This window comes from Homo sapiens, chromosome 9, assembly GCF_000001405.40.
Source record: "Homo sapiens chromosome 9, GRCh38.p14 Primary Assembly".
Taxonomy (NCBI): Eukaryota; Metazoa; Chordata; class Mammalia; order Primates; family Hominidae; genus Homo; species Homo sapiens.
In genome coordinates, this window is record NC_000009.12 from 135,756,476 (window position 1) to 135,781,365 (window position 24,890).

Here is a 24,890-nt window from a genome sequence, read left to right on the forward strand (position 1 = left end):
GGGTCAGTAGATGCCTGTGCTGAGAGGGGTTCCGTGGGGGAAAACCAGGTCCACTGAGCCTCCATCTCCGTTCCCTCCCCACCAGGGCAGCGGGATAGCCGCTCTCTGGTGTCTTCCTGAGCGTCCTGCCTCACCCACTGCACCCTCCATCCCACCCTGGGCCTAGAGTGGGCGGCCCAGGAGGACCATGGTTTCAAGACTCCATCTGCCCTCGGCCCTGGCGGGGGTCAGCCAAAGGCCTTGGTGGCTAAGACTGTCCTGACATGGGAGTGAGGGTCAAGGCAGACCCCAGACACACACCTGGCTTTGTGTGGTACCTGCCCGCGAGGCCTGTGGGGTCAGGCCCCAGCCCCAGCCCCGGCCTGCTCCAGAGCTCCTTCCCTTTCCTGACTCCCAGGTCATCGTGGCCATAATAAGCTTCCTGGAGACGATGCTTCTCATCTACCTCAGCTACAAAGTGAGTGCCTGCCCGGGATGGCACCTCACAGGGGGTCCCCACCCTCCCCACCCTCCCCAGCCTCCCCCACCTCCCCCACCCTCTCCTATTTCCCCACACTTCCCAGCCTCATCCACTGACCTCCAGGGTGGGCTCCTCGCCCTCTTCCCCACCCTGCCCCTCCCCTGCTGGGCCCCACCCCCACCCTCCATCGCCCCCGCTGATACCCCCCGTTTGGCCCCAGGGCAACATCTGGGAGCAGATCTTCCGCGTGTCCTTCGTCCTGGAGATGATCAACACTCTGCCCTTCATCATCACGGTGGGTGAGCCCCAGCTGCCAGGAGTGCGGGCCCTGGAGCCCCAGCCCTGACCTGTCCCCTTCACAGATCTTCTGGCCGCCGCTGCGGAACCTGTTCATCCCCGTCTTTCTGAACTGCTGGCTGGCCAAGCACGCGCTGGAAAACATGATTGTAAGCCGGGGCGGGGGGTGCAGCTGGGACTTGGGGGGGCCACCCTCAGCCTCACCGGCCCTGGAAGACACTGTGCGACGTAGCCTGCCACGCCCCGGCCCTGGCATGACCTGTAGAGGACCGGGAAGCCAGGGCAGCAGAAACTCTGTCTCTGCTCCTGGAAAACATCCAAGCCAAGCCCCGAATGCCCTCCTTCCAGGAAGAAACTCAATCCCAGAGCTTTTCCTAAGCCTGGAAATGAAATGGCTGGCAGGAGGAGGAGGGACAAAGTGAAGGGTGTGACAAACCCAGGCCACGAGGACCAGGGCCACAAACACCAGGCCACACGCAAACTGGGGCCACGGGGCCACAGGCAGGCCCTGTGCTGAGCATCTCAGGAAACCTGGGCCACGGGGCCACAGGCAGGCCCTGCTCTGAGTGTCTCAACATGGTCCCTGTCATGTGAATGGCAGCAGTCAGTTCCCTAGGCGCCCACCCTCTCCAAGCCAGACCCCTTGACTCACAGCCCCCATTCCTGCCCCAGTGGTAAATCAGCGTTACCATGCTGGGTCCAAGCCTTGCACACTAACCAGCCCTCTGACCTGAGACTTAAGCCTCATCCCCGGGGATGTAGGCAAGATGGGGACCCGTCCTGAGAGAGGACAGCAGAGGGGGTGCCCTACCCAGGTGCAGGCTGCCCGTGGGCCTCAGCGGAGACGCAGGTGTGGCCAGGCGTGGGCTGCCCCTTGGGCCTCAGCCGAGACACAGGTGTGGCCGTGGGCTGCCCCGTGGGCCTCAGCCGAGACACAGGTGTGGCCAGGTGCAGGCTGCCCCGTGGGCCTCAGCCGAGACGCAGGTGTGGCCAGGTGCAGGCTGCCCCATGGGCCTCAGCCGAGACACAGGTGTGGCCAGGTACAGGCTGCCCCGTGGGCCTCAGCCGAGACGCAGGTGTGGCCGGGCCGTCTGCTTTCCACTGTCCTTCTAGTCTCTATTCATTGGCTCCTGGCGGGGTCCACAGTCCCTGCCCGCTGACAGCCACCACTCCTTCCACAGAATGACTTCCACCGTGCCATCCTGCGGACACAGTCAGCCATGTTCAACCAGGTCCTCATCCTCTTCTGCACCCTGCTGTGCCTCGTTTTCACGGGGTGAGTGCCGGCCGTCAGTGTGAGCACCCCAGGACGTTGGGAGGGCCCGAGAGGCAAGCAGGGCCGGGCGAGGGGATACAGATGCCTATGTCCAAGCTATCGGGGCAGAAAAGGCCACAGTGCCTGGGCTGCGGGTGTCGGGCCACCAAGCTGGGACTGAGGTCAGGAGGCAGCTCCAAGCCCACGTCCCCAGTACACGAGCAGCCCTGCAGCCCGACTCCTCCAAGGACAGAGATACCCAGATCTGGCTTCCTGGTCTATGCCATGGACGTAGAGAAGGGGACTGGCCCCTAGGCCAGGTGGGGTCTCTTGGCTGAGGCCCAGCTGAAAGCAGGGTCTGGAGGCAGCCAGGGTAAAGGTGGGGGTGCCCAGAGCTGCGAGGGCCTCCAGCCCACCCAGGCATGCCCACTGTGCCCACCTGCCTGTGTCCTCGTGGAGGGCTCCATGTTGCTGCTCTGCCTTGGGTCCCAGCGAGGCCTGGTCACCACTTCCCGTCCCCAGGCAGGGATGTCAGGCAAGCACTGTGCCCTGGGGGAGGGAGAGTGCCCTGCGTTTCCCGCCTCCCTTCCCCCCTGCCCCTCATGACAGACTGACAGACACAGAGCTGAGTGGGCAGATTGGGGCATCCATGAGGATAGCATCTGGGACCTGGCGGCGACCCCAGCCCTGCCCATTAGACCTCCCAGCCTCAGGCCTGGGCGCTTGTCTGGCTGTGCCGGGCAGAGGCCTGAGTGTGGTGGGTAAAGGGGCAAGGCTCTGAGATGGGGGTAGAGGGCCAGACCCCAGGCCCACCCCTGTGTCACCCAAGCCCACGCTGATGACACAGCCCTGCATCCCCTGCTCCCAGAGAATGTTCCAGGGACCTAGGAGAGAGCCACCCGGCAGGCAGGGAGGCTCCGGGGAATTCGCCGTGAACAGAGGCCGCCATGCTGTGGCCAAGCTGCATTGTCAGCCAGCGTCAGGCAGGAGGTGGCTCCGGCAGAGCTTGGGGACAGATGGGCAGGGCTGAGGGCCTGATGCCACCCAGCTGTCAGGAGGGCGGGGCTCGCCTGGTGATGCACAGCTCAGTCTCCTGGGCAGTGAGGGTCCCGTGGGCAGGCAGGATCTCTGAGGGGCCACGGCCCCCCAGCTCCTGGGCCCCAGGCCGCCCCTCACTGCCAGGGGTTGCAGGACCTGCGGCATCCAGCACCTGGAGCGGGCGGGCGAGAACCTGTCCCTCCTGACCTCCTTCTACTTCTGCATCGTCACCTTCTCCACCGTGGGCTACGGTGACGTCACGCCCAAGATCTGGCCATCGCAGCTGCTGGTGGTCATCATGATCTGCGTGGCCCTCGTGGTGCTCCCACTGCAGGTGGGTCCTCTGGGCACCAGCCCTGGGTGGCACCAGCAAAGGGACAGGCGGGTGCCAGTAGAGGGAGGGTGCCACTGAGGCTGTGGCACAGTGCGGGGGCCACTCCCAGGAGGGGACAGTGAGGCCAGGCGGGTGGTGCCTGCTCCGTTGCACGCCCCCACTGAGGGTCTACGGCGGGTCCGGTGGTGCTCAGCATGGTGGGTAATGATGGAGTCCCGTGAGCTGGCCTCTTCCTTCTGGGGAGATGGTGGGTCTCCAGTGCCAGGGTGACCTGCCCCTCCCAGGCCCAGGCAGAGTGCAGGGAAGGGTCAAGGTGGACAGCCGGCCCATTTCCCATCCACAGCCAGGTGCAGCAGCAGCTGCCAGGCCCACAGGGGGCACACCCCCCCGGCCACCCCAGTGGCTTCCCCGTCACCACTGCTGTGGCCCACTGCCCACTGAGCAGAGGAGGGGACGGGGCAAGACCTCAGTGGGAAAGGTGGAGGCCTGGAGAGGGCAGCTGCCTCAGGGTGTGAAGTGCTTGGGCCTGGACTGCCTCCGACACCTCCTCCAGGCACCCCAGCCCACCCTGGAGGGACCCTGCTATTGGGGAGATGGGAGAAGGAGGGGACCCCTGTGGGTGGTGGAACATTTTCCAGGAGGCTGGGTAGGAGGAAGAGCCTGAGGAGGTGGCCAGGGCCTTCTGGGAGACAGACCCCCAGGTGGCTGCAGGATGCCGGGGAGACAGGGCAGTGCTCCTAGGGAGCCTCTGCTGACCCCAGGCTCAGCCCCAGCTCCCTCCCGCTAAACAGCAGTGGGCGTGGCCCAGGTATGGGCCCAGGCCAGGCCTGGCTCTTCTCCTCACTATATCCAAGCCAAAGCTGTGGCACCAGCTGTACGGCCCCCAGCGTGGGCCATGTTCTCCACATCTGTGGCTTCTGTTCTCCTGAGTTCAGATGGGGCCGTGCGCGTCTTTCCATCTGGTTGTCGGCCACTCCACCGTCCAGTGCCACGAGTCCCGCTCCTGTGAGCTGCCCGCTCCTCTTTGGTCTTCCCCCTGGTTCTCGCTGATGAGCGAGTCTCTGTGTTCTAGAAGAAGCCAGTTGTGTGTGGCTTTCCCGTTACTTCCTGCTCTGTGACCGCCCCTCTCACTTTGCTTACAGAATCTTCCATTCACGGATGGTCTTGATTTTTTTTTTTTAAATTAGAGATAGGGTCTCACTCTCATTTTGTTGCCCAGGCTGGCCTCGAACTCCTGGGCTCAAGCGATCCTCCCGCCTCAGCCCCAGAAATAGCTGGGATTACAGGCGGCTTGGCTTTGATTCACCAATCTTTCCCTTATGGTTTCTGTTTTCCTGTCTTTACTGAAAAGATCATTCCCTCCCTCGATCATAAACCTGGCTTCCTATTTTCTTCTAAAAGTGTAAAGCTCGCCTCTCACCTGGAGGGTTTCACCCACCAGGAACCACCATGTGGGGTGGGGTGGAGCTGGGTTCTCCCCTCTGACGCCTGCTCCCCCACACCCTGCATTCTGCTCCTTTCTCTGCGCATTTCATAACCAGGCAAGGGCGGGAGTGAGGGTGGGAGTGAGGCCAGGAGCACAGTGTGGGGGGCACTCCGTGCAGTGACACTGCCTCCCTCCTCGGCCCTCCTGCCCCAATCCGTAAATCTCACCTCAAATTCTTTACCTTAATTACTTCTGCAAAGACCCTTTTGCAAATGAGGACTCATCCTGAGGTGCAGGGGGACCTGCTTTCAGGGCCATCCTTGACCTTGCTACGGGCCCCCAGCCTCCGTCCCTGGTCCGCCCCGGCCCACACTTCACCACGTGGCCGGCACCTGCTGAGGCCGCTGCACCCAGATGCTCTGCAGAGGCGTTGACCCATCCAGTCTCTGAATTCCCCACAAGCCCTTCCAGAGAAACATCCGAGAGGCCCCTGGCCCAGCCGAGGTCAGAGGAAGGGTCAACAGGGCCAATGCGTCCCCCTTTCCCCTGTGGGCCCACGGCCCAGCCACACGCAGCTCCACCTTCGGGCTGCGTCCGGCTCCTCTCCCCACCCCACACACCCCAGAGCGAAGAGGAGCCCCAGCCCCAGCCACCCCCAGGGTCGCTTTCAAATAAAGCAGGAGCGAAGCGCTCTCTCCCGTGCTTCTCACGAGACCGTGGCACCCACGGGTAAGGGCCAAATCGGGATGTGCAGCAGGCCTGTTCCATGTCCCTCTGCTGCGTCCACAGCCTCCGGGCCGGGGCTGCCTTCCCATTCTGCTCCTGAAGCACCAGGGGAGCCCCCACCTCCCCTTATCTCCATTAAGAAGTAAGACAAGGCCAGGCGCAGGGCTCATGCCTGTAACCCCAGTACTTTGAAAGGCCAAGGCGGGAGGATCGCTTGAGCCCAGGAATTTGAGATCAGCTTGAGCAACGTAGAGAGACTCCCATCTCTACCAAAAAGTATGAAAATTAGCTGGGTGTGGCGGCATGCACCTGTAGTCCCAGCTACTTGGGAGGCTGAGGCAGGAGAATCGCCTGAGCCCTGAGGTTGAGGCTGTGGTGAGCTGTGATCTCGCCATCGCACTCTAGCCTATGCAACAGAGAGTGAGACCCTGTTTCAAAAAGAAAAAGAAAAAAGGGCCAGGCACAATGGGTCCTGCCTGTAATCCCAGCACTTTGGAGGGCCGAGGTGGGTAGATCACTTGAGATCCGGCGTTCAAGACCAGCCTGGGAAACATGGCAAAACCCCGTCTCTACCAAAAAATAGGAAAAATTAGCCAGGCATGATGGCACACAGCTGTAGTCCCAGCTCCTCGGGAGGCTGAGGTGGGAGGATCACTTAAGCCCAGGAGGCAGAGGTTACAGTGAGCCAAGATCACACCACTGCACTCCAGCCTGGGTGACAGAGCGAGATGCCATCTCAACACCATCTTAAAACAAACAAGACAAGGTGACTCCAGGTGCACCAGGTCCTGCAGGCATCACACCTGCACTGCTCTTCAGGGAAATTCACGGAACAAATGCGCCATCGTCACGAGAACTGATTGCATCGATGGGTATGGCCATGGTGACAAGTGACCGACAGCCCAGCAGCCTGCACGCAGAGGTGTCACTGTAGCTCGAGCTCCGTGTCCACAGTGGGGTCCCTCAGATCAGCCACTGCCTGACTGCCTTGTCTCCTTTCTCCCGTGTGGGGCAGGCAGAGCAGGCCCTGAGTGGGACAAGCTCTGAGCGAGGCAGGGAGGAAGGCGGGGGCAGGGCCTGGGGGCTGGCGCACCCTCCCTCCCATCAGCCCTGCCGGACCTGGTGCTCAAACCTGACCCAGGTGGGCCTGTGCTGTCCCTGGCAGGGCTGGGGGTGATTGGGACAGTGATGCCGCTGACCCCACCGTCTAAGCCGCTCCCTGCCTCCTCCGAATGACTGGAAAGACTGAGCCTCTCACTGGCGATGGTAAGGGTGGGCTGCAGTGCCCTTGCCCTTGGTCTCCACTGGGCTGAATGCACCAGTAAAAGCCCTTGAAGCAGAGTGATGACCCCGAGGCCCTCGCTCACGAGCGTCCTTCTGGAACACAGCAGCGCCGGCTGGGTCTCCTGGAAGTATCCTCCAGGCTCTTCGATCAGCAAGACAGACAGGCAGCTTAAACAGCAGATATGTATCCTCCGCCAGCCCTGGAGGACAGAATCGGAAGTGGAGGGGTTGGCAGGGCTGACCCTATCAGGCCGCTTTGGGGGAGATTGTCCCATGCCTCTCTCCAGCTTCTGGTGGGGCCGCAATCCCTGGGGCTGCTTCTACGGTGGCTGTAGAAACCTCAGCCTCTGCCCCGTGTGCACTTGGCCTCTTCTCTGTACCTCTCACTGGATTTAGGGCCCACTCCAACCCAGGGTGACCTTATCTTAAATCATTACATCTGCAGAGACCTATTTCCAATCAGATCACATGGCGAGGTTCTGGGCAGATAGGACTTTTAGGGTCACTACGGAGCTGCCGTCATTAGCTCCTTCATCCTCACGGCGGCCCTGGAGGGTTGCCGTGCCATGCAGCCATCTTGTAGGTGAGGAAGCTGAGGCTCAGAGTGGGGGACGTGAGCCCTGGGGTGTCTGACAGCAGAGCCCCCGCCAGCACCATCCGCGGGGAAGCCTCTGTTCCGGTCGCCCTGGAGTCTTGAGCACCTCCCAGCTGTGGAAACTGTTTTGTGTGGCAAGGCAGTGGAGCCTCGTCACCGGAACAAAGCAGGCGCTGGATAAGTGCAATGCGATGGTCCCATTTAGACCAGACGATAGCACATCAGCCATGCAGCCCACAGTCCATGGGAGCTCCTGCCATTGTTCATTTAACACGTGTTCAACAAGCCGGGCACCATGACTCAGCCTGTAATCCCAGCACTTCAGGACGACAAGGCAGGAGGATCGCTTGAGCCCAGGAGTTCGAGACCAGCCTGGGCAATGTAGTGAGACCCCATCTCTACAAAAAATAAAAATAAAACTAGCTGGTCATGGTGGTGATGCACCTAGAATCCCAGCTACTCAGGAGGTTGAGGCAGGAGGATGGCTTGAGCCCGGGAAGTCAAGGCTGCAGTGAGCTGTGATTGCACCACGGCACTCCAGCCTGGGTGACAGAGTGAGCCTCCGTCTCAAAAAAAAGAAAAGCCAAAGACTTTCACCTAGAGGCCAGTGGGGCCGGTGCTGGGAGGCCCCGGTGGCCTCTGTTTTGGATCTGTCCCCTTTGAGTCTCAACACCCAGAGCTTGCATCTGGGGAGCATGAGCCAGGGCAGGCAGCATCCTCAGACCAGCAGCCTCAAACCACCTGCCCCCCAGACATAGGCTCCTGACAGTGAGGCCTGCGAGTGCCTGGAAGACCGGGGTCTGAGGCCTGATTTGGCCACGCTTACCATCAAGAGAGTGATCCCCAATCCCACGGGCTGAGCCTCCCCACCCTCGGTTTACTCCACAGTCTCCAGCCGCCCCTCCTCCCTTGGTCCCCACACATCCTGCCAGCCGGGCCTGCGTCCTGCTCTGTGTCATCTGAGGCTATCAGCATCTACAGTTTCCATGTGGGAAAGGCCCCCCTAATGTAGGTGTCACCCCCCGGCCGGCCCTGCCCCAGGCCCCTAACAGACAGTCGTGTGTCAGGGCCCAGGTTCTTCACCGGGAGCCCTCGCTCCCCAGGCCTGGTCGCTGGTGCTCACCTGTTTCTCACCTGCAGTTCGAGGAGCTCGTCTACCTCTGGATGGAGCGGCAGAAGTCAGGGGGCAACTACAGCCGCCACCGTGCGCAGACGGAGAAGCACGTGGTCCTGTGTGTCAGCTCCCTCAAGATCGACCTTCTCATGGACTTCCTGAACGAGTTCTACGCCCACCCCCGGCTCCAGGTGAGGCCCCTTACCGTGGCCCAGCAGACGACTCCCTCCCGGCCCCTAGAGACGCCATCCTCTCCCCAGGACTGCTTGGCAAGTCCCTGAGTCCTCTCAGCCTTGGTTTACCCCTTCAGTGAGGGCAGATGCCTCCCTCCCGGCGCCCAGAGACGCCATCCTCTCCCCAGGACTGCCATCCTCTCCCCAGGACTGCTTGGCAAGTCCCTGAGTCCTCTCAGCCTCAGTTTACCCCTTCAGTGAGGGTGGCAGCCCACAGTCAGGTGGAGGGGCCCTGCGGGGGCCCCTCTTTTCCCTCCCACCAGATGCAAGATCACAGTGAGCTCTAGGGCCCAGAGGTGGTGGGCACAAACACAGTCCTGAAGGCAGGGCCGCCCGGGCGGGGCAGGGGCTGGCTCAGAGGGTCTGACCCTCCGCCTGGCCGGCAGGACTATTACGTGGTCATCCTGTGCCCCACGGAGATGGATGTCCAGGTGCGCAGAGTCCTGCAGATCCCTCTGTGGTCCCAGCGGGTCATCTACCTCCAGGGCTCTGCACTCAAAGACCAGGACCTCATGCGAGCCAAGTGAGTGCTGGTGGGCGGAGGGGGTGGCATGGGGGCACCTTCCTGAGTCAGGTCGGCTGCTCAGGGCTGAGGCATTGACCGTCGCTCTCCTGGCCAATGAGAGCCATGAGAGCATTATAGACTATCCCCAGGGTGGACCATCTAGGTGGACTGTCCAGGGTGGATCGTCCGGGGTGGACCATTTAGGGTGGATCGTCTGGGGTGGACCATTCAGGGTGGACCTTCTGGGATGGACCATTTAGGTGGACCATACAGGGTGGATCATCTGGAGTGAACTGTCAAGGGTGGACCATCCAGGGTGGACCATCTGGGGTGGACCATCTAGGATGGACTGTCTGGGGTGGACCATTCAGGGTAGACCTTCTGGGATGGACCATTTAGTGTGGACCATCCAGGGTGGATTGTCTAGGGTGGGTCATCTGGGGTGAACTGTCCAGGGGGGACCATCCAGGGTGGGTCATCTGGGATGGACTGTTCAGGGTGGACCATCCAGTGTAGATCATGTGGGGTGGACCATCTAGGGTAGACTGTCCAGGGTGGACCATCTGGGGTGGGCTGTCTGGGGTGGGCCATTCAGAGTGAACCATCTGGGATGGATCTCTAGGGTGGACCATCCAGGGTGGATCATCTGGGGTGGACCATTCAAGGTGGACCATCTAGGGTGGACCATCTGGGGTTGGTCCTCTGGGGTAGATCATCAGGGGCGGACCGTCTGGGGTATACCCTCTGGGGTTGTCTGGGGTGGGCCATCCATGGTGGACCCTCTTGGGTGGACCATCTGGGGTGGATCGTCTGGGGTGGACCATCCATGGTGGACCCTCTTGGGTGGACCGTCTGGGGTGGATCATCCAGGGTGGACTGTCTGGGGTGGACCCTCTGGGGTGGATTGTCTGGGGTAGACTGTCCGGGGCCTCTTGCAGTTTCTCTAGCTCAGGTCCCAGGCCCAGATGAGCAGGACCCTGCAGCCAGGCCCTTGTCCCTGCACCATACCCACTGTGGAGCAGCCCAGGCAAGCCCAACCCAGCTAAGTCTCTGTCTCCCTTTTCAGGGTGAGGGGCAGCCTTTTGCGAGCTCCACCTTCCCCTGCTCCAAGTCTAGGGAAATCTTTGTCAAGTTCTAGGGAGGCTCAAAATAGAACAGGGGCGGGAGAGTCAGCTGCTGTGAGTCAAGGTGGGAGAACGGGCTGAAGGTAGAGTTCCTTTTAAAGACAAATTGACAGAGTGACAAGGTAACAAGAGTATATTATTACCTGGAACTTTCCAGAATGTGTCGGTGCACTTTCTGGGACACTCCCTGGAAAACCCTCCTGGTGACATTTTCATTCCAGGAGCCTGAATGTGTCCTTAGTGGCATAGTGTTGGTGGTACTCCCAGGGTCTCTCCTCATCACTCCCCCTCCCCCTGCCATGTCCAGAGCCCCAAGCTGGAACCCATTGCCTATGGAACGCCACCTCTTTTGTGGTCCCGTCCCCAGCACACACAGGCGATGCACCTGCTTGGGCCCAGGGAGTGGGGAGAGGGCAAGGGCGTAGGCCATTCCCAGCCAGGCAGGGATGAGCCCAGGGCTGTGGGTACAGGGCCTGGGGCCCCTGCGGAGCAGACAGTGGTGCCAGTGATGTGGTGGGGTTCCCTGCCCTGGGGCAGAGGCGACAGTTTCTTAGACAGCGTCTCAGCAGTGCTAGGTGGTTTCTGCAGCTGGGCTTTCAGGAGACCCAGGAGGCGCTGGAAGTGACCACCCAGGTTCCCAGACCACAGAGTAGCCAGGCCAGGGAGCGGACAGGGTCTCTGCCCCCAGATTCCCCCCTCCCTCCTGCACCCCAACCCAGCCCTGGGTGAATGTCTCATGGCAACATACAAGATGGGTACCCCGGAAGCCAGTGCCCAGGTCACTGGCACACACCTAGGTGGGGTCTCCACCGGGCCTGCTCCTGCCAACCCTGGACCCCTAGCCCCTGACGCCTGGGAGTATGGACAAATCCAGGCAGCCCCAGCCAGCAGAGCCCCCTCGCACGACCTCCTGATGCCCCTCCTACCTGGCCAACTTAGGGACAAGCTGGGGGGTTGCTTCAGAGAACAGGGCCTGGGGGAGGAAGGGCAGGCACTGCCCTAGGAAGCACCATGGGCTCCCACTCAGGGCCGTGGCCAGGAGAAGCTGTCAGCTGGTGTCTCCAGGACACACCATCCATAGCATCTGACCCCCTGCCCCCACCCGCTGTCAGCCTGCACACACTCGGGGGACAGGTGTGGCTCCTGACCCCTGCCCCCACCCGCTGTCAGCCTGCACACGCTCAGGGGACAGGTGTGGCTCCTGAACCCTGCCCCCACCCTCTGTCAGCCTGCACACGCTCGGGGGACAGGTGTGGCTCCTGTGCCTTCTCGAGTGTCGGAGCTTGGAGTCTCCTAGGGTGTCCAGGAGTCCTGACCCGGCTCAGAGCCTGCCAGGGATGGGCCAGGGAGTCTGGAGAGGCCCAGGATGCCTGCGGGGGGGGGGGGGGGGGCACTGGGATACCGGTGGGGGGGGCACAGGGATGCCTGCTGGTGGAGGGCACACAAGGATGCCCGTGGGGGACACTGTGATGTGGGTTGGGGGGGGGGGGGGCAGTATGGGGATGCCCACTGAGGGGGCACTGTGACTCCTGACCAGCAGAGAGTAGGGGCCTCCTCCCGCCTTCCATCCTCCCCGCCTTCCATCCTCTCCGCCTTCCATCCAGCCGTCCTCTCAGTCTCTTTCTGTGCACCTGCTGCACCAGCCTCCTCCCAGAGGAGGTCCTCCCCACCTCACCTCCGCACCCCCGGCTGCACTGCCCACCTCCCCTGCTCCACCCACGCTCAGGCCCTGGTGCATTGCAGGATGGACAATGGGGAGGCCTGCTTCATCCTCAGCAGCAGGAACGAGGTGGACCGCACGGCTGCAGTGAGTGAGGCTGAGGCCCTGCCCAGGCGGGAGGGGCACCGTGGGGCCGGGGAGCGGGGGTCCCTGAGGGAAGAGACCTGCCCCAGGCTGCCGGTGCCGCCCAGCAGCCCACAGAGGCCAGCCCGTCTGCACTGACCAACCACCCACCCCGCCAGGACCACCAGACCATCCTGCGCGCCTGGGCCGTGAAGGACTTCGCCCCCAACTGCCCCCTCTACGTCCAGATCCTCAAACCTGAAAACAAGTTTCACGTCAAGTTTGCTGGTGCGTCTGGGGCACACGTGGGTGATGGTGTATCTGGGGCAGGGCACGTGTGCACACGTGGGTGATGGTGCATCTGGGGCAGGGCGCATGTGCACATGTGTGACGGTGCGTCTGGGGCAGGACGCGTGTGCACACGTGGGTGACGGTGCGTCTGGGGCAGGATGCGTGTGCACACGTGGGTGTCGGTGCGTCTGGGGCAGGGCGCATGTGCACACGTGGGTGACGGTGCGTCTGGGGCAGGGCGCGTGTGCACACGTGGGTGACAGTGCATCTGGGGCAGGGCACGTGTGCACGTGTGTGTCGGTGTGTCTGGGGCAGGGCGCGTGTGCATGCTGTTGGGTGATGGTGCGTCTGGGGCAGGGCGCGTGTGCACACGTGGGTGACGGTGTGTCTGGGGCAGGGCGCATGTGCACGCAGTTAGGCGAGCTGTGTGGGGCAGCGGGAGGGGCTGGCCCTGGAGCTCCTCACACAAGCACACCAGGAGGTGCTGGAGGGGACGGCAGACCCCCATCCTCACCGCATCCGAGAAGGGACCTAGGGGGTCCAAACTCTTCAGATGAAGTCTTATGCTGGGATCCTGGGGTCAGTGAAGGCAGGGTCAGAGGTCAGGTGGGGGCAGGAGCACCGTCTGATGAGCACCTCTATGGGCAGGGACCATGCCGGGTGCCCGGGGAACGGGGGGCAGGCCCCATGCCAGGTGCCCAGGGGACAGGGGTCAGGGCCCACATGGAGTGCCCAAGGCACAGGGGCCAGGGCCTGCCCCGCCCTGGAACTCCTCGCTGAGCTGGGAGAGAAGCACAGGAGCGATGGAAGGTCCACCGAGGCTCAGACCAAGTAGGGGGTTGAGGTCCACAGACTCTCGGGGCAGAGATGCTGAAGCCGGACAGCAGACACGGGGGTGCCAGGCAAGGGTGCATCTGCATAGCACCTTCAGGAAGTGAGCAGGTACTGTGGGGGAGGAGAGAGCCGGCAGAGCGGCAGGTGGACCGGCCTCCCCCACTGCCCGCAGACCACGTGGTGTGTGAGGAGGAGTGCAAGTACGCCATGCTGGCGCTGAACTGCATCTGCCCGGCGACCTCCACCCTCATCACCCTGCTGGTGCACACGTCCCGCGGCCAGTGAGTGCCCCGTGCCCCGGGGGACCGACCTCCATGGCGGGGCCGGCGCAGGGAGACAACGCAGGGCCTGCTTGGGGGCGGGGATGGGCTTCCCAGAGGAGGGGCACATGGCGGGCAAAAGTCCTGCATAGGGAGGGGATCCATGCCAGGGGAAGCAGAGGGGGGCACCTGCAGACCCAGCCGGGGAGAAGGGGCAGCCATGGCCGAGGGTGACGCTCCCCTGGCCCCGCCCTGGCCCACAGGGAGGGACAGGAGTCTCCGGAGCAGTGGCAGCGCATGTATGGGCGCTGCTCCGGCAACGAGGTGTACCACATCCGCATGGGTGACAGCAAGTTCTTCCGCGAGTACGAGGGCAAGAGCTTCACCTACGCGGCCTTCCACGCCCACAAGAAGTAAGGCCGGGCTGCATCCACAGGGCTGGCGCTCCAGGGCTGCTCTGCTCTGTGCCCTCCCCACCCTCCCGGTCAGGCACAGGGGTGGCCCTGGGGCGGGGCTGCAGAGGGCTCGGGGGAGGGCATCAGGTCATCCTGCCTGGCGAGGGCAGCCGCAGGACTGGGCTCCGGGTCCACATAAAAACCTGCCACGCGGCTCCTCCCTGAGGCTTGTGGGCTGACCCCAGCTCTCTGGTCCCCAACACCTCTGGGACGGGAGGGCTCAGCCAAGGTCCCTGACCCCAAATGGCCCCCAGGAGGAAGACGCGGAGCTCCGGTGGGGACTCTGGTGATTTGCAGGAAGGGCAGGCAGGGAGCGGGACAGGGCGGGTGAGCGGCGGTACCTGAAGTTGCCGGTGCCTCTGCCCAGGTATGGCGTGTGCCTCATCGGGCTGAAGCGGGAGGACAACAAGAGCATCCTGCTGAACCCGGGGCCCCGGCACATCCTGGCCGCCTCTGACACCTGCTTCTACATCAACATCACCAAGGAGGAGAACTCGGCCTTCATCTTCAAGCAGGAGGAGAAGCGGAAGAAGAGGGCCTTCTCGGGGCAGGGGCTGCACGAGGGTCCGGCCCGCCTGCCCGTGCACAGCATCATCGCCTCCATGGGTGAGCCGGGACAGGCGCGCGGGACTCCCTGGGCCTGCTCCTTTGGCGGGAGACCAGGCGGGACACCGGCAGGTGACCAGGTGGGATGGGAGACCAGGCAGGACAGGGGGAGGTGACCAGGTGGGACAGGAGACCAGGCAGGACAGGGGCAGGTGACCAGGTGGGACGGGAGACCAGGCAGGGCGGGAGACCAGGTGGGACAGGAGACCAGACCGGGCAGGGCAGGAGACCAGGCCAATGTGGCCCCCAGACCCAGTTCCTCTTGGCCTATGCCTCCAACCTTGGACAGGTGGAGTCTCTCTGGGCCTGTTTTTGAATCTGTCAAACAGGTGTCCCCGCCTTCCTGTGGCCACCTTTGTGGGCATTGCTCACTGTGTCCAAGTGCCTGTCCAAGTGGGGCCGCCCACAGGACCGGTTGGCAGCTCAACCGGAGGCTCCTGGTGGTCCCATCAGCCCGGAGGGTCTGCTTCACGTGTGTCCCTCAAACAGTCGGGAGTCCTGACGTCCACTGGGGCCAGGAGTTGGCGGAATGAGGTCGCAGTGGCCGAGGGCTTTGGCCTCTTCTCGTGCCTTCAGGGATCCTCCCGGGGAGCCGCTTACCAGACAGGGTCAGGCTGCCTCTGAGCAGGTGGAGGCCCATGGCCCCTAGGGCACCACCCATAGTGGTGTTGCCCCCTCCCCAGCCAGGCCTTCCTGGGGGACAGTTAGGGAGCAGGGCCAGGCCAGGAAGCCACTCAGGCCACAGACCCACAGCCGGGCCAGCATGTTGCCACCTCCGTACAGTGGCCCAGGCAGAGGCTGACCCTATGGGGCACCCCAGCACGCCCACCCTGGGGTGTTGTTACACGGTGGCTGCTGGGGCACCAGGTGGTTCAGTGCAGTGGGGCACAGTCTCCAAGACCCAGAGGGCCCTGGGGTTTGGAGACGTGCCGATGCGGAGCCCACCACCTGCCAGACCCCGCAGGTTCCCGGCCGCCGTCTACGGCAGCTCACTCGGGGGGCCGGGCCTGGCCGCAGGGCACTGGGGAGGCAGGCTGCTGCTGCCTAGCCACACCTCCACCTTCACCTGCGCAGTAGGCACTCTGCCCCCAGGTGGCTTCCAGGAAACCAGGGTGACTCGGGCAACCCTCACTGTACCCACAGAGGCCCTGGGCCATACCTAGAGGTCCACAACCCCCATCTGGCAGCCTGGGGTGGTGCAGGAGTGGCAGAGTCTGCTCCCACAGGCACTGAGTCACCCAGCTGCTCCCCACCTGGCCCCATCCACCAGGCAGCCTGACCAGCTGCACAGGCCCCTAAGGCTGAGACCCCCGAGCCCAGAATCAGCCAACCCCCTCCTCAGGCATCTGGTGCTGAGGCCACAGCAGCTGGCCTGGGTGGCACCGATGGGGCACTGGGGCCCCCTGGGTCTTCGCTCAACATCATCGCCACCCCAGAGGCCACTGTCCCTGTTGTATGGAGGGGGAAACTGAGGCATAGATTGAAGCTCCTCAGCTGGAGCACAGGAGCCAGGCCATGACAGGGTCTCCAGAGCTGACTGTGTTCACCTGAGCTCTGGGAACTCGCCGCCCATGGAGGGTGGGAGTCGGGCTGTGGCCAAGCACAGGGCTCTCTTCCAGGGACAGTGGCCATGGACCTGCAGGGCACAGAGCACCGGCCTACGCAGAGCGGCGGTGGGGGCGGGGGCAGCAAGCTGGCACTGCCCACGGAGAACGGCTCGGGCAGCCGGCGGCCCAGCATCGCGCCCGTCCTGGAACTGGCCGACAGCTCAGCCCTGCTGCCCTGCGACCTGCTGAGCGACCAGTCGGAGGATGAGGTGACGCCGTCGGACGACGAGGGGCTCTCCGTGGTAGAGTGAGTGCTGCCTTGGAGACGGCTCCCAGTGGGGGGAGGAGCCGCCCATGAGTGCGGGGGATGGGTGTCGGAGCATCCTTGGTGGTCCCCCATGCTCTGAATTGCAGCTTCTGGACAGCTCCGTGGAAGTCCTTGTTTGACAAATGAAATCTTCAGGGGGCCCAACACAGACATCAGGGCCACATCACCCTCGTCGCCGGGGAGCACTTTTGAGTGTCACTGAGATGGGGTGTGCTGGGCTACACCCTTTCCAGTTGGGGCTGGGGGTGCAGAGCTAATTGGAGCGAGGCAGCTCACTGGCACAGGGGCTGTCAGGCACCAGGCAGCGCCACCCTCAGAGAGGGGCCCGTTCCCACCCACCTCACCAGCCCCATAGTGGCCCGGCCACTCTCTGAATCAGGATGGAGCTGGGCAGTGACCCCAGGCCATCCTCCACCCAGTGCCCTAGGTCTCCCCCTTAGCACTACAGAGCACAGAGGGGCACAGCCCGCCTGACCAGGGGTGGGTGTCCTCTGAGCAGGGTCCCTGTGCAACCCCTGGGCAAGGCAGTGTCCCAGCCTGGAAACCACAGCCCGTCCTGAGTTGTTGTCCTGGCCTAGGTTTGGGGCCAAGTCCTCCTGCTTCAAATCATGAGACAGGAGGCCCCACTCTGTTCTCAGCAGCTTCTGCCTTTTGGCCTCAGCCAGGACAGACAAGTGCCCCAGCTGCAGGGCCCGAGGTCCATCCTCAGCGGGGCTGCCTCACTCTGTCCTGGCCTTTGCCTCTGGGGTGGGGTCAACACACTGTAATGACAGCCCAGCTGCTGGGAAACAGCCCTGAACCATTGCATGTGTGTGTTGGGTGCTGCTGGGGACGGGGTGGTGGCCTGCTGGGGACAACAGCCTGGCTGGACAAGTATGTGGGTAAGAGCCCAAGGCCAGAGTGCCTGCCCCACCAGCCGGGGGTGCTGGGGATGTCAGGGAGGCATGGCGGGCGGGCAGAGCCCTGTGGGTTTTGCATGTGGCTGAAAAGCCTGGTCTAGGCTGTGGTGGGAGGAGAAAGACCGAGTAGGGCATGGGGGTGGGTGTGCAAGGGGGGTGTGTCCGGTGTGTGTGTGTGGTGTATGTTATGTGTGTGGTGTGTGTCCATATGTGTAATGTGTGTTGTGTGTCAACGTGTGTTTGTCACGTGTGGTGTGTGTTGTGTGATATGTGATGTGTGTCTGGGTGTGTGTGGTATGTGTCCGTGTGTGTGATGTGTGTCTGAGTGGTATTGTGTGTGGTATGTGGTGTCTGTGTGTTGTGTGTGGTGTGTGTCCGTGTGTGGTGTGTGTGGTGTCTGTTGTGTGTGTGGTGTGTTGTGTGTGGTGTGTGTGTCTGTGTGCTGTGTGTTGTGTGTCTGGGTGTGTTGTGTGTCCGTGTGTGGTGCGTGTTGTGTCTGTGTGTGGTGTGTGTTGCGTATGTTGTGTGTCCGTGTGTGTGTGGTGTGTGTCTGTGTGTTGTGTGGTGTGTCTGTGGTGTGTCTGTGTGTTGTGTGTCCGTGTGTGGTACGTGTTGTGTCTGTGTGGTGTGTGTTGCATATGTTGTGTGTCTGTGTGTGCTGTGTGTCTGTGTAGTGTGTTGTGTGGTCTGTGTGGTGTGTCTGTGTGTTGTGTGTCCATGTGTGGTACGTGTTGTGTGTTGTGTATGTTGTGTGTCGATGTGTGTGTTGTGTGTCTGGGTGTGTGGTGTGTATGTTATGTGTCCGTGCACGTGGTGCACGTGTGCATACGCCTGCATGTGTTCATTTCTGTGCGCATGTGTTGTGTGTGTGTCCGGGTGTGTCCATTTCCGTGTGCCTGTATGGGGCCATGTGTTATGCCGAGGGCTGACCATGGGGGGGTCCTGGGCTGACCAGGTGAGGGGTGAGCCCCACCGCCACCCCCTTCCACACCTGGGTGAGGGCAGCAGCAGTGAGGGCCCTACCCACCCCTCGGTCTCCTCCAGTCCCCCAAGGCCCTGATGGGGCTAAGTCCATGCCTCCCCAGCCCTGGCCTTGCAGCCGCTGCTGACCCGCCAGGCAGGCACGGGTCCTTAAGGTTCGGCACCTGCATGGGTGCCCTGGGCACTGCCCTGACTGCCCTGCAGGACACACTGGGTCCTGGGTGCCAAGGCTAGGCAGGCCCTATGACACGGTGACCACAGGCTCAGCTGGAGGAGCGTTTGCTGATGCACAGGTGGTTAAGGGAAGAACGGGCCACCTTGGGTCAGCTGTGCGTGACCCCGAGCAACGTGGCTGTGGGTGGAGTGGGTGCCCTCGAGTCCCCCAGCCCGAGGGGGGCCCCAGAGCAGACCCAGCCACCTCTGTGCAGCTGTGCTGAGGGCTCCTGTCTCCTGCCCCAGGTATGTGAAGGGCTACCCTCCCAACTCGCCCTACATCGGCAGCTCCCCAACCCTGTGCCACCTCCTGCCTGTGAAAGCCCCCTTCTGCTGCCTGCGGCTGGACAAGGTAAGGCTGGCGGCTCTGCCGCGCTCTGCACCCCCAGACGCCAGCACCGGGCCGTGCATACCTGCCCTGGTTTCTCTTTGGTCACTTTACATTTCGATACCATTGCAAACTTCTAGCACAGCTGCAAGAATTCTGCAAGGGAGAGCCACAGATCCTTCACCCAGATTCAGCAGACGGTCCCTTCCTGTCCCGTTTGGGCTCTCCCTCTCACAGTGTCTATGTTAGAGGCACCTGTTTTCTGAGCCATCTTGAGAACAGGTTGGAGCCACCACACCCCTTTCCCCTAATACATCTACATGCGTTCCCAAAGATCAAGAACCATCTCGTAACTACAGCTCATTAGGACAGGGACCCCGGCCCGGCATGGGTGTCTGATCCACAGTCCAAGTTCAGATTGGGCCGAGGGCCCCGAAGGCCTTCAGCGTCCTGCGTGGCAGTGTTTTCCCCACCGGGAGCCTGTCCCGGCTGCGTCTTAGCAACTCCTTTCTCGTTACTCTCCCTTAATCTGGAATGTTCCCTGGGGTCTCTTGACCTTAATATTTTTGCAGAGCAGGGACCAGTGACCTGGTGGCAGGTGGGTCTGCGATGTTTCTTGGTGGTGGGACTCTGCCTGCATGTGGGGCCAGCCCTCCCTGGAAACTCGGGGGTCAATTGTCAGGTCACTGGCGATGTTTACTTGGATCTCATGGCAAGCTGGGGTCAGTAGGGTTTCCCCACTGTGAAAATGACTGTTTTCCTTCTGGAGTTAGCAGCTTCTCTGTGGGGGACGTGTTGAGATCAGGAAAGCAAACCACTCGACCCAGCGGCTTCAACATCCCTCAGTGGGTTCTTTTTTGTTTATTTGTTGTTTGGTTTTTTTTAAGACGGGGTCCCACTCTGTCATCCAGGCTGGAGTGCAGTGGTGGGATCATAGCTCACTACAGCCTCCACCTCCCAGGCTCAAGGGGTCCTCCCACCTCAGCCTCCCAAGTGGCTGGGAACACAGGCACGCACCACCACACCTGGCTAATTTTATTTATTTATTTATTTTTTGTAGTGATGGGGTCTCACTATGTTGCCCAGGCTAGTCTCGAACTCCTGGACTCAAGTGATCCTCCCACCTCGGCCTCCCAAAGTGCTGGGGTTACAGGCGTGAGCCACCATGCCTGCCATCTGTGGATGGTTTCCAGTTCCGGAATCTCTCTCCAGCTGTGTGTTAGGGCTCGGCCACGGAGGGGACCTCCCCTTCCCCATGTGTGTGTGTCCTTCACGGACCACAGGCTCCCAGCATATTCTGTGGGTTATAATCTGTGGCCGGTCATTGCAGTAGCATCATCCTTGACAGATCGTTATTGATTCTGATGCTCGGACCCCCTCAGTTCACTGGGTGGGGTGGGGGCCTTCAAGCGGCTTCTGGGTGCTTCTGACACGATCCCCTCACCCTTTGAGCTCATCTGTGCTTTCCAACCGGAGATGTTCCAGCCACATCTTGGCCTTCGCCTGCTCCAGTCTGGAATGAACCACTTCTCCAAGGAACCCTGATTCCTTTTAGTGGAAAATGATGATTGGAAACCAAGACCTGGGCACGTGGCGTGCTCACTGCTGTTGGCATCCCTGCTCTGAGAAAACGTGTGTGCATACACATGACACGTATCTATGCCCACACCTAGATCTCTAGCCACATGCCAAAACCACATGTTCACATGGACACCGCCCTTTCCACCCCTGACATGACTGCTCTGTGCCGCCTGTGGGTACAGCTGTGGCATCTGGTGGTGCCTGTAGCTCCCCACAGGCGTGTGCAGGCCGTGAAAGGGCTGTGGGCCGAGAGGCTAACGGCTGGGTGTTCACGGGGGATGTTTGGTGAGGGGTCTGGGAGGGCTCCAGTGGCCAGCAGGAACCACAGCCCTGACTCCAGCCCTGACTCCAGCATCTGCCCCCAGGGCTGCAAGCACAACAGCTATGAAGACGCCAAGGCCTACGGGTTCAAGAACAAGCTGATCATCGTCTCGGCAGAGACGGCCGGCAATGGGCTGTACAACTTCATCGTGCCACTGCGGGCCTACTACAGATCCCGCAAGGAGCTGAACCCCATCGTGCTGCTGCTGGACAACAAGTGAGGCTCCTGGGGCTCAGCCCACCCCGCCCACCCGGGCCCTCAGACCTGCAGCCAGCAGCCTCCCCAACTGGGCCCACCCTTCGCCTTTGCAGAGGGCACGGGAACATGGGGCCTCTGGCCTGGTCCTCTCAGCTTTCCTAAAAAGGGGGACTCTCCTTCCTGCTCCCAACTCCTCCTGCTCCCAGCTCCTCCCCACACCCACTCCTGCTCCCAGCTCCTCCCCACCCCCAGCTCCTCTGGCTCCTGGGTCCTCCCTGCTCCCTGTTCCCCCAGTTCCCAGCTCCACCCAACTCCCAGCTCCTCCTTGCTTCCAGCTCCCCCAGTTCCCAGCTACTCTCCATTCCCAGCTCCTCCCCACTCCCAGCTTCTCCCCACTCCCAGTTCCCCCTCACTCCCAGCTCCTCCCTGCTCCCAGTTCCTCTGGCCACCAGCTCCTCCCCACTCCCAGTTCCTCTGTCTCCCAGCTCCTCCATGCTCTCAGCTCCTGTGGCTCCCAGCTCCTCCCACTCTGGTCCTCTCTCCCCCTTTCCCCCTCCTCCCTTGTCACTCCTTCTGTCCTGTTTGCCTCCTGCTCCACTCACTCTGAGCCCCAGGATTGGGGTGGAGGGATAAATGGCTCTTCCTCCTGGGCACCTTTTTGCCCAGGGGACCCTAGGACCCTGACAGCTGAGCCCAGGGTCATCTTGGCTGTGTGACCTCAGCAGGTCCCACCCTCCCGGGCCTTGGTTTCCCCTTGAATAAAATAAAGAATGGCCCACTGGCCTTAAAGTACTCCCCAGGTCCCATACGCTGCGGTTCTGGGGAACCCCTGCCTGGCCCAGCTCTGTGCATGGAGGGTAGGGCCCCACTGGGCCTGAGGAGGGCAGGCCTTGAAGCAGGGTGGGCCCCTCCAGGACCGCTGTCCCCACAGGCCCGACCACCACTTCCTGGAAGCCATCTGCTGCTTCCCCATGGTCTACTACATGGAGGGCTCTGTGGACAAGTAAGGCGTGGCCGGCCGAGGCTCGTGGGGGCTCCACACCCACCCCTCCCCTCCTCTTCCAAAGTCTGGGGTGACCCCGACCGCAGGTGGGGTGGGGGGCTGAGGTCCTCCTGCCTTCTGACCAAATCCCGGGGTCCTGTGGGTGGGGAGTGGGCCGCATCCTCAGCCACGGGCCCTCGGTCCCGCCACCAGCCTGGACAGCCTGCTGCAGTGTGGCATCATCTATGCGGACAACCTGGTGGTGGTGGACAAGGAGAGCACCATGAGCGCCGAGGAGGACTACATGGCGGACGCCAAGACCATCGTCAACGTGCAGACCATGTTCCGGTGCGTCCAGTGTCCGGGGCTCGGCTCTAAACCACCCCACAGCCACGACCACGGGCCCTCGCCCTGAGACCCCCACAGCCACGACCACGGGCCCTCGCCCTGAGACCCCCACAGCCACGACCACGGGCCCTCGCCCTGAGACCGCCACAGCCACGACCACGGGCCCTCGCCCTGAGACCCCCACAGCTATGACCACAAGCCCCCACCCTGAAACCCCCACAACCACAGCCATGGGACCACACCCTGAGACCCCCACAGCCATGGACTCTGCCCAGAGACCCCCACAGCCACGACCACAAGCCCTCCACCCTGAGAGTCCCACAGCCATGACCATGGGCCTCTGCCCTGAGACCCCCCACAGCCGTGGGACCCTGCCCTGAGACCCCCATAGCCAAGACAGTGGGCCCTGCCCTGAGACCCCCCCACAGCCATGGGACCCCGCCCTGAGACCCCCACAGCCACATGATCATGGGCCCCCACCCTGAGACCTCCTACAACCACCATGGGCCCCGCCCTGAGCCGCCTGCCTCCCCCAGGCTCTTCCCCAGCCTCAGCATCACCACGGAGCTCACCCACCCTTCCAACATGCGCTTCATGCAGTTCCGCGCCAAGGACAGCTACTCTCTGGCTCTTTCCAAACTAGAAAAGGTGAGCAGCCCTGCCCCGTGCCAGCTGCCACCCCAGAATCCCAGAAAGAGTGGGAGAAAGGGGCTCAGGGGAAAGGGGGCCAGTGCCATGGGAGGCTGGGCTCCTGCCGCCCTCCTGCTGGGGAACTCAGGAGATGGCGTGGGGGGCCCAGCATGGACAGGGTGCTCTTGATGGTGGAACCAGGAGATGGAGGCAGGGCGTTTCCCTGACCGCGTGTGAGGCACTGGGAATGTGGCCCATAGCAGCCTTCCATCTCCCTGAGCAGGGACCAGGCCTGGCCGTATCTGGAGGCCAAGGCCATCTGTCCTGGCATGGTCAGTTGGTCAGAACTCCCGTGGGGAGCCCTCAGATCGGTGGTTCCACATAGGTTGGCCAGTAGCTCTTAGTACAGATAACGCACACGGCTGCACCATTCCAGACTTCTCCGCTGCCCTGGCCACTACGCCCGACCTTGAAACAGGTTCAGTATAACCACTGCCTCCTTGTATTGACAAGGGACGGAGGGCCTGAGAGGGAAGGGGCCTGCCCCGGATCGCACAGTGGAGCAAGTGGCTGAGCTGGAATTGGCTTTCTGCCCTTGGAGCTCCATGAAGGGCACCACCCAGGGTCAGGTGTGGAACCCAGGGGCACGGGCACTGTTGCTGTTGCCTTGATATCTGGCTGACCCCAGCCCCACCGCATTCCCCACCTGCTCAAGCTGGGACAGCACCACCTTGTCCACACGGGGGCTGGTGCCCAGGCAGCCCTAGGCTGAGAGCAGGGAGCAGGCACCTTGGTCAGCAGCAATGCTGTCTGCTCTACACGAACCCCGAGCTCACCGGTCTGGGCTGAAGTCCTCATCGGCGAGCTGCTGGGACCTGCGTGGCTGCAGGATTGTGACACCGTGGAGGATCTACTGAGCCAGGCCCGGCCTGGCCACCAACACCAGGCAGAGGACACACACGGGCACTCCCTGCGACACGGACATGGCTTTGTCCCACCTGAACCCGATGGAGAGTGAAAGTGTGTTCCGGCCAGCCGTGGACCAAGAGCCCATAGGGATCCTGGAGTCAGTTCTGCCCCAGAGAAGCGAGAGGAGGCCGGGCTGGGCAGCCACCAGGTCAACAGGGGCTTCTGCCTTAGAGATGCCAGCCTGAGGCGTAGGGGGATGCTCGGGCACCTGGTCTCAGCACAGGAGAGGGCTCTGTCTGCCCTGCCCGCCGCCCAAGCCCACCCTGGAGCCTGCCCTGCCCAGCGTCGGGAGCTCCTGGCCCCAGTCCCCGGCTCAGCCGGCAGAGGGGTGTGCTCTGCAGCTGGAACCACGGAAGGGGAGGAAGTTCACAGGATTCTGTGTTCGGGTGCCGGGCCGCTCCCCAGGGCTGGGAGGACTCTCCGGATCTGGAAGACCAAGTCTGACCCTGTGTGGACAGGGATGCTGCCGTGGAGTCGGGGTCGAGGCAGTCATCCTGGCGCGGCTCCTCCGGCCTCAGCCTTGCACCTCTCTGTCCCACAAGGTGGCTTGAAGTTTGGGTCAGCAAGCACGCAGCCAACACGCTCCTGCCCGCCTTCCCGCCAGGCAGCCATCGCCAATCACCCACGCTCCGCCCCGCCGTGGGGCCCATCTCTTTCCCCGGCTTCACCTCCACTGGGGCTCTGTGTTGCCGGGGCGGGTGCGGCCAGCTCTCCATCTCAGAGCAGTGAACAGTCCTGGGCTCCAGCTCCAGTCATGCGATTCCGTGGCAGTTGTGTGACAGGGACCAAGGAGAAATCAGGACATCGGCAAAGCCTCTGGAAGCAGCCGTGAGCTCCTCTGGGCTGACATGGTGCTGGGGTCCATGTGGGACAGATGCCCTGGGCCCTGGGCAGGGCCAGGCATATACAGAGACGTGGAGCCGAGGGAGGAGAGGGTGCCGTGG

The 24,890-nt window shown here is 62.5% G+C and overlaps 1 protein-coding gene across 11 annotated transcripts in view; it reads left to right on the top strand.

The window, feature by feature from the left end:
• The window catches only part of KCNT1 (potassium sodium-activated channel subfamily T member 1), a 93,318-nt gene that overhangs the window by 54,291 nt on the left and 14,137 nt on the right, over positions 1–24,890 (top strand). For 8 of the 11 annotated variants that reach the window (NM_001272003.2, XM_011518878.4, XM_024447618.2 and 5 more), the window contains 18 exons: positions 398–457; positions 681–755; positions 823–906; positions 1,939–2,033; positions 3,195–3,384; positions 8,556–8,720; positions 9,149–9,285; positions 12,135–12,198; positions 12,354–12,462; positions 13,472–13,580; positions 13,823–13,972; positions 14,382–14,620; positions 16,240–16,474; positions 18,835–18,940; positions 20,863–21,035; positions 21,949–22,020; positions 22,213–22,347; positions 22,884–22,995. In NM_001272003.2, coding sequence (NP_001258932.1) covers positions 398–457; positions 681–755; positions 823–906; positions 1,939–2,033; positions 3,195–3,384; positions 8,556–8,720; positions 9,149–9,285; positions 12,135–12,198; positions 12,354–12,462; positions 13,472–13,580; positions 13,823–13,972; positions 14,382–14,620; positions 16,240–16,474; positions 18,835–18,940; positions 20,863–21,035; positions 21,949–22,020; positions 22,213–22,347; positions 22,884–22,995 — 2,310 coding nt within the window. The remainder of the gene's footprint in view (positions 1–397; positions 458–680; positions 756–822; positions 907–1,938; positions 2,034–3,194; positions 3,385–8,555; positions 8,721–9,148; positions 9,286–12,134; positions 12,199–12,353; positions 12,463–13,471; positions 13,581–13,822; positions 13,973–14,381; positions 14,621–16,239; positions 16,475–18,834; positions 18,941–20,862; positions 21,036–21,948; positions 22,021–22,212; positions 22,348–22,883; positions 22,996–24,890) is intronic. The other 3 variants (NM_020822.3, XM_011518879.4, XM_011518880.2) reach the window with 1 other exon arrangement.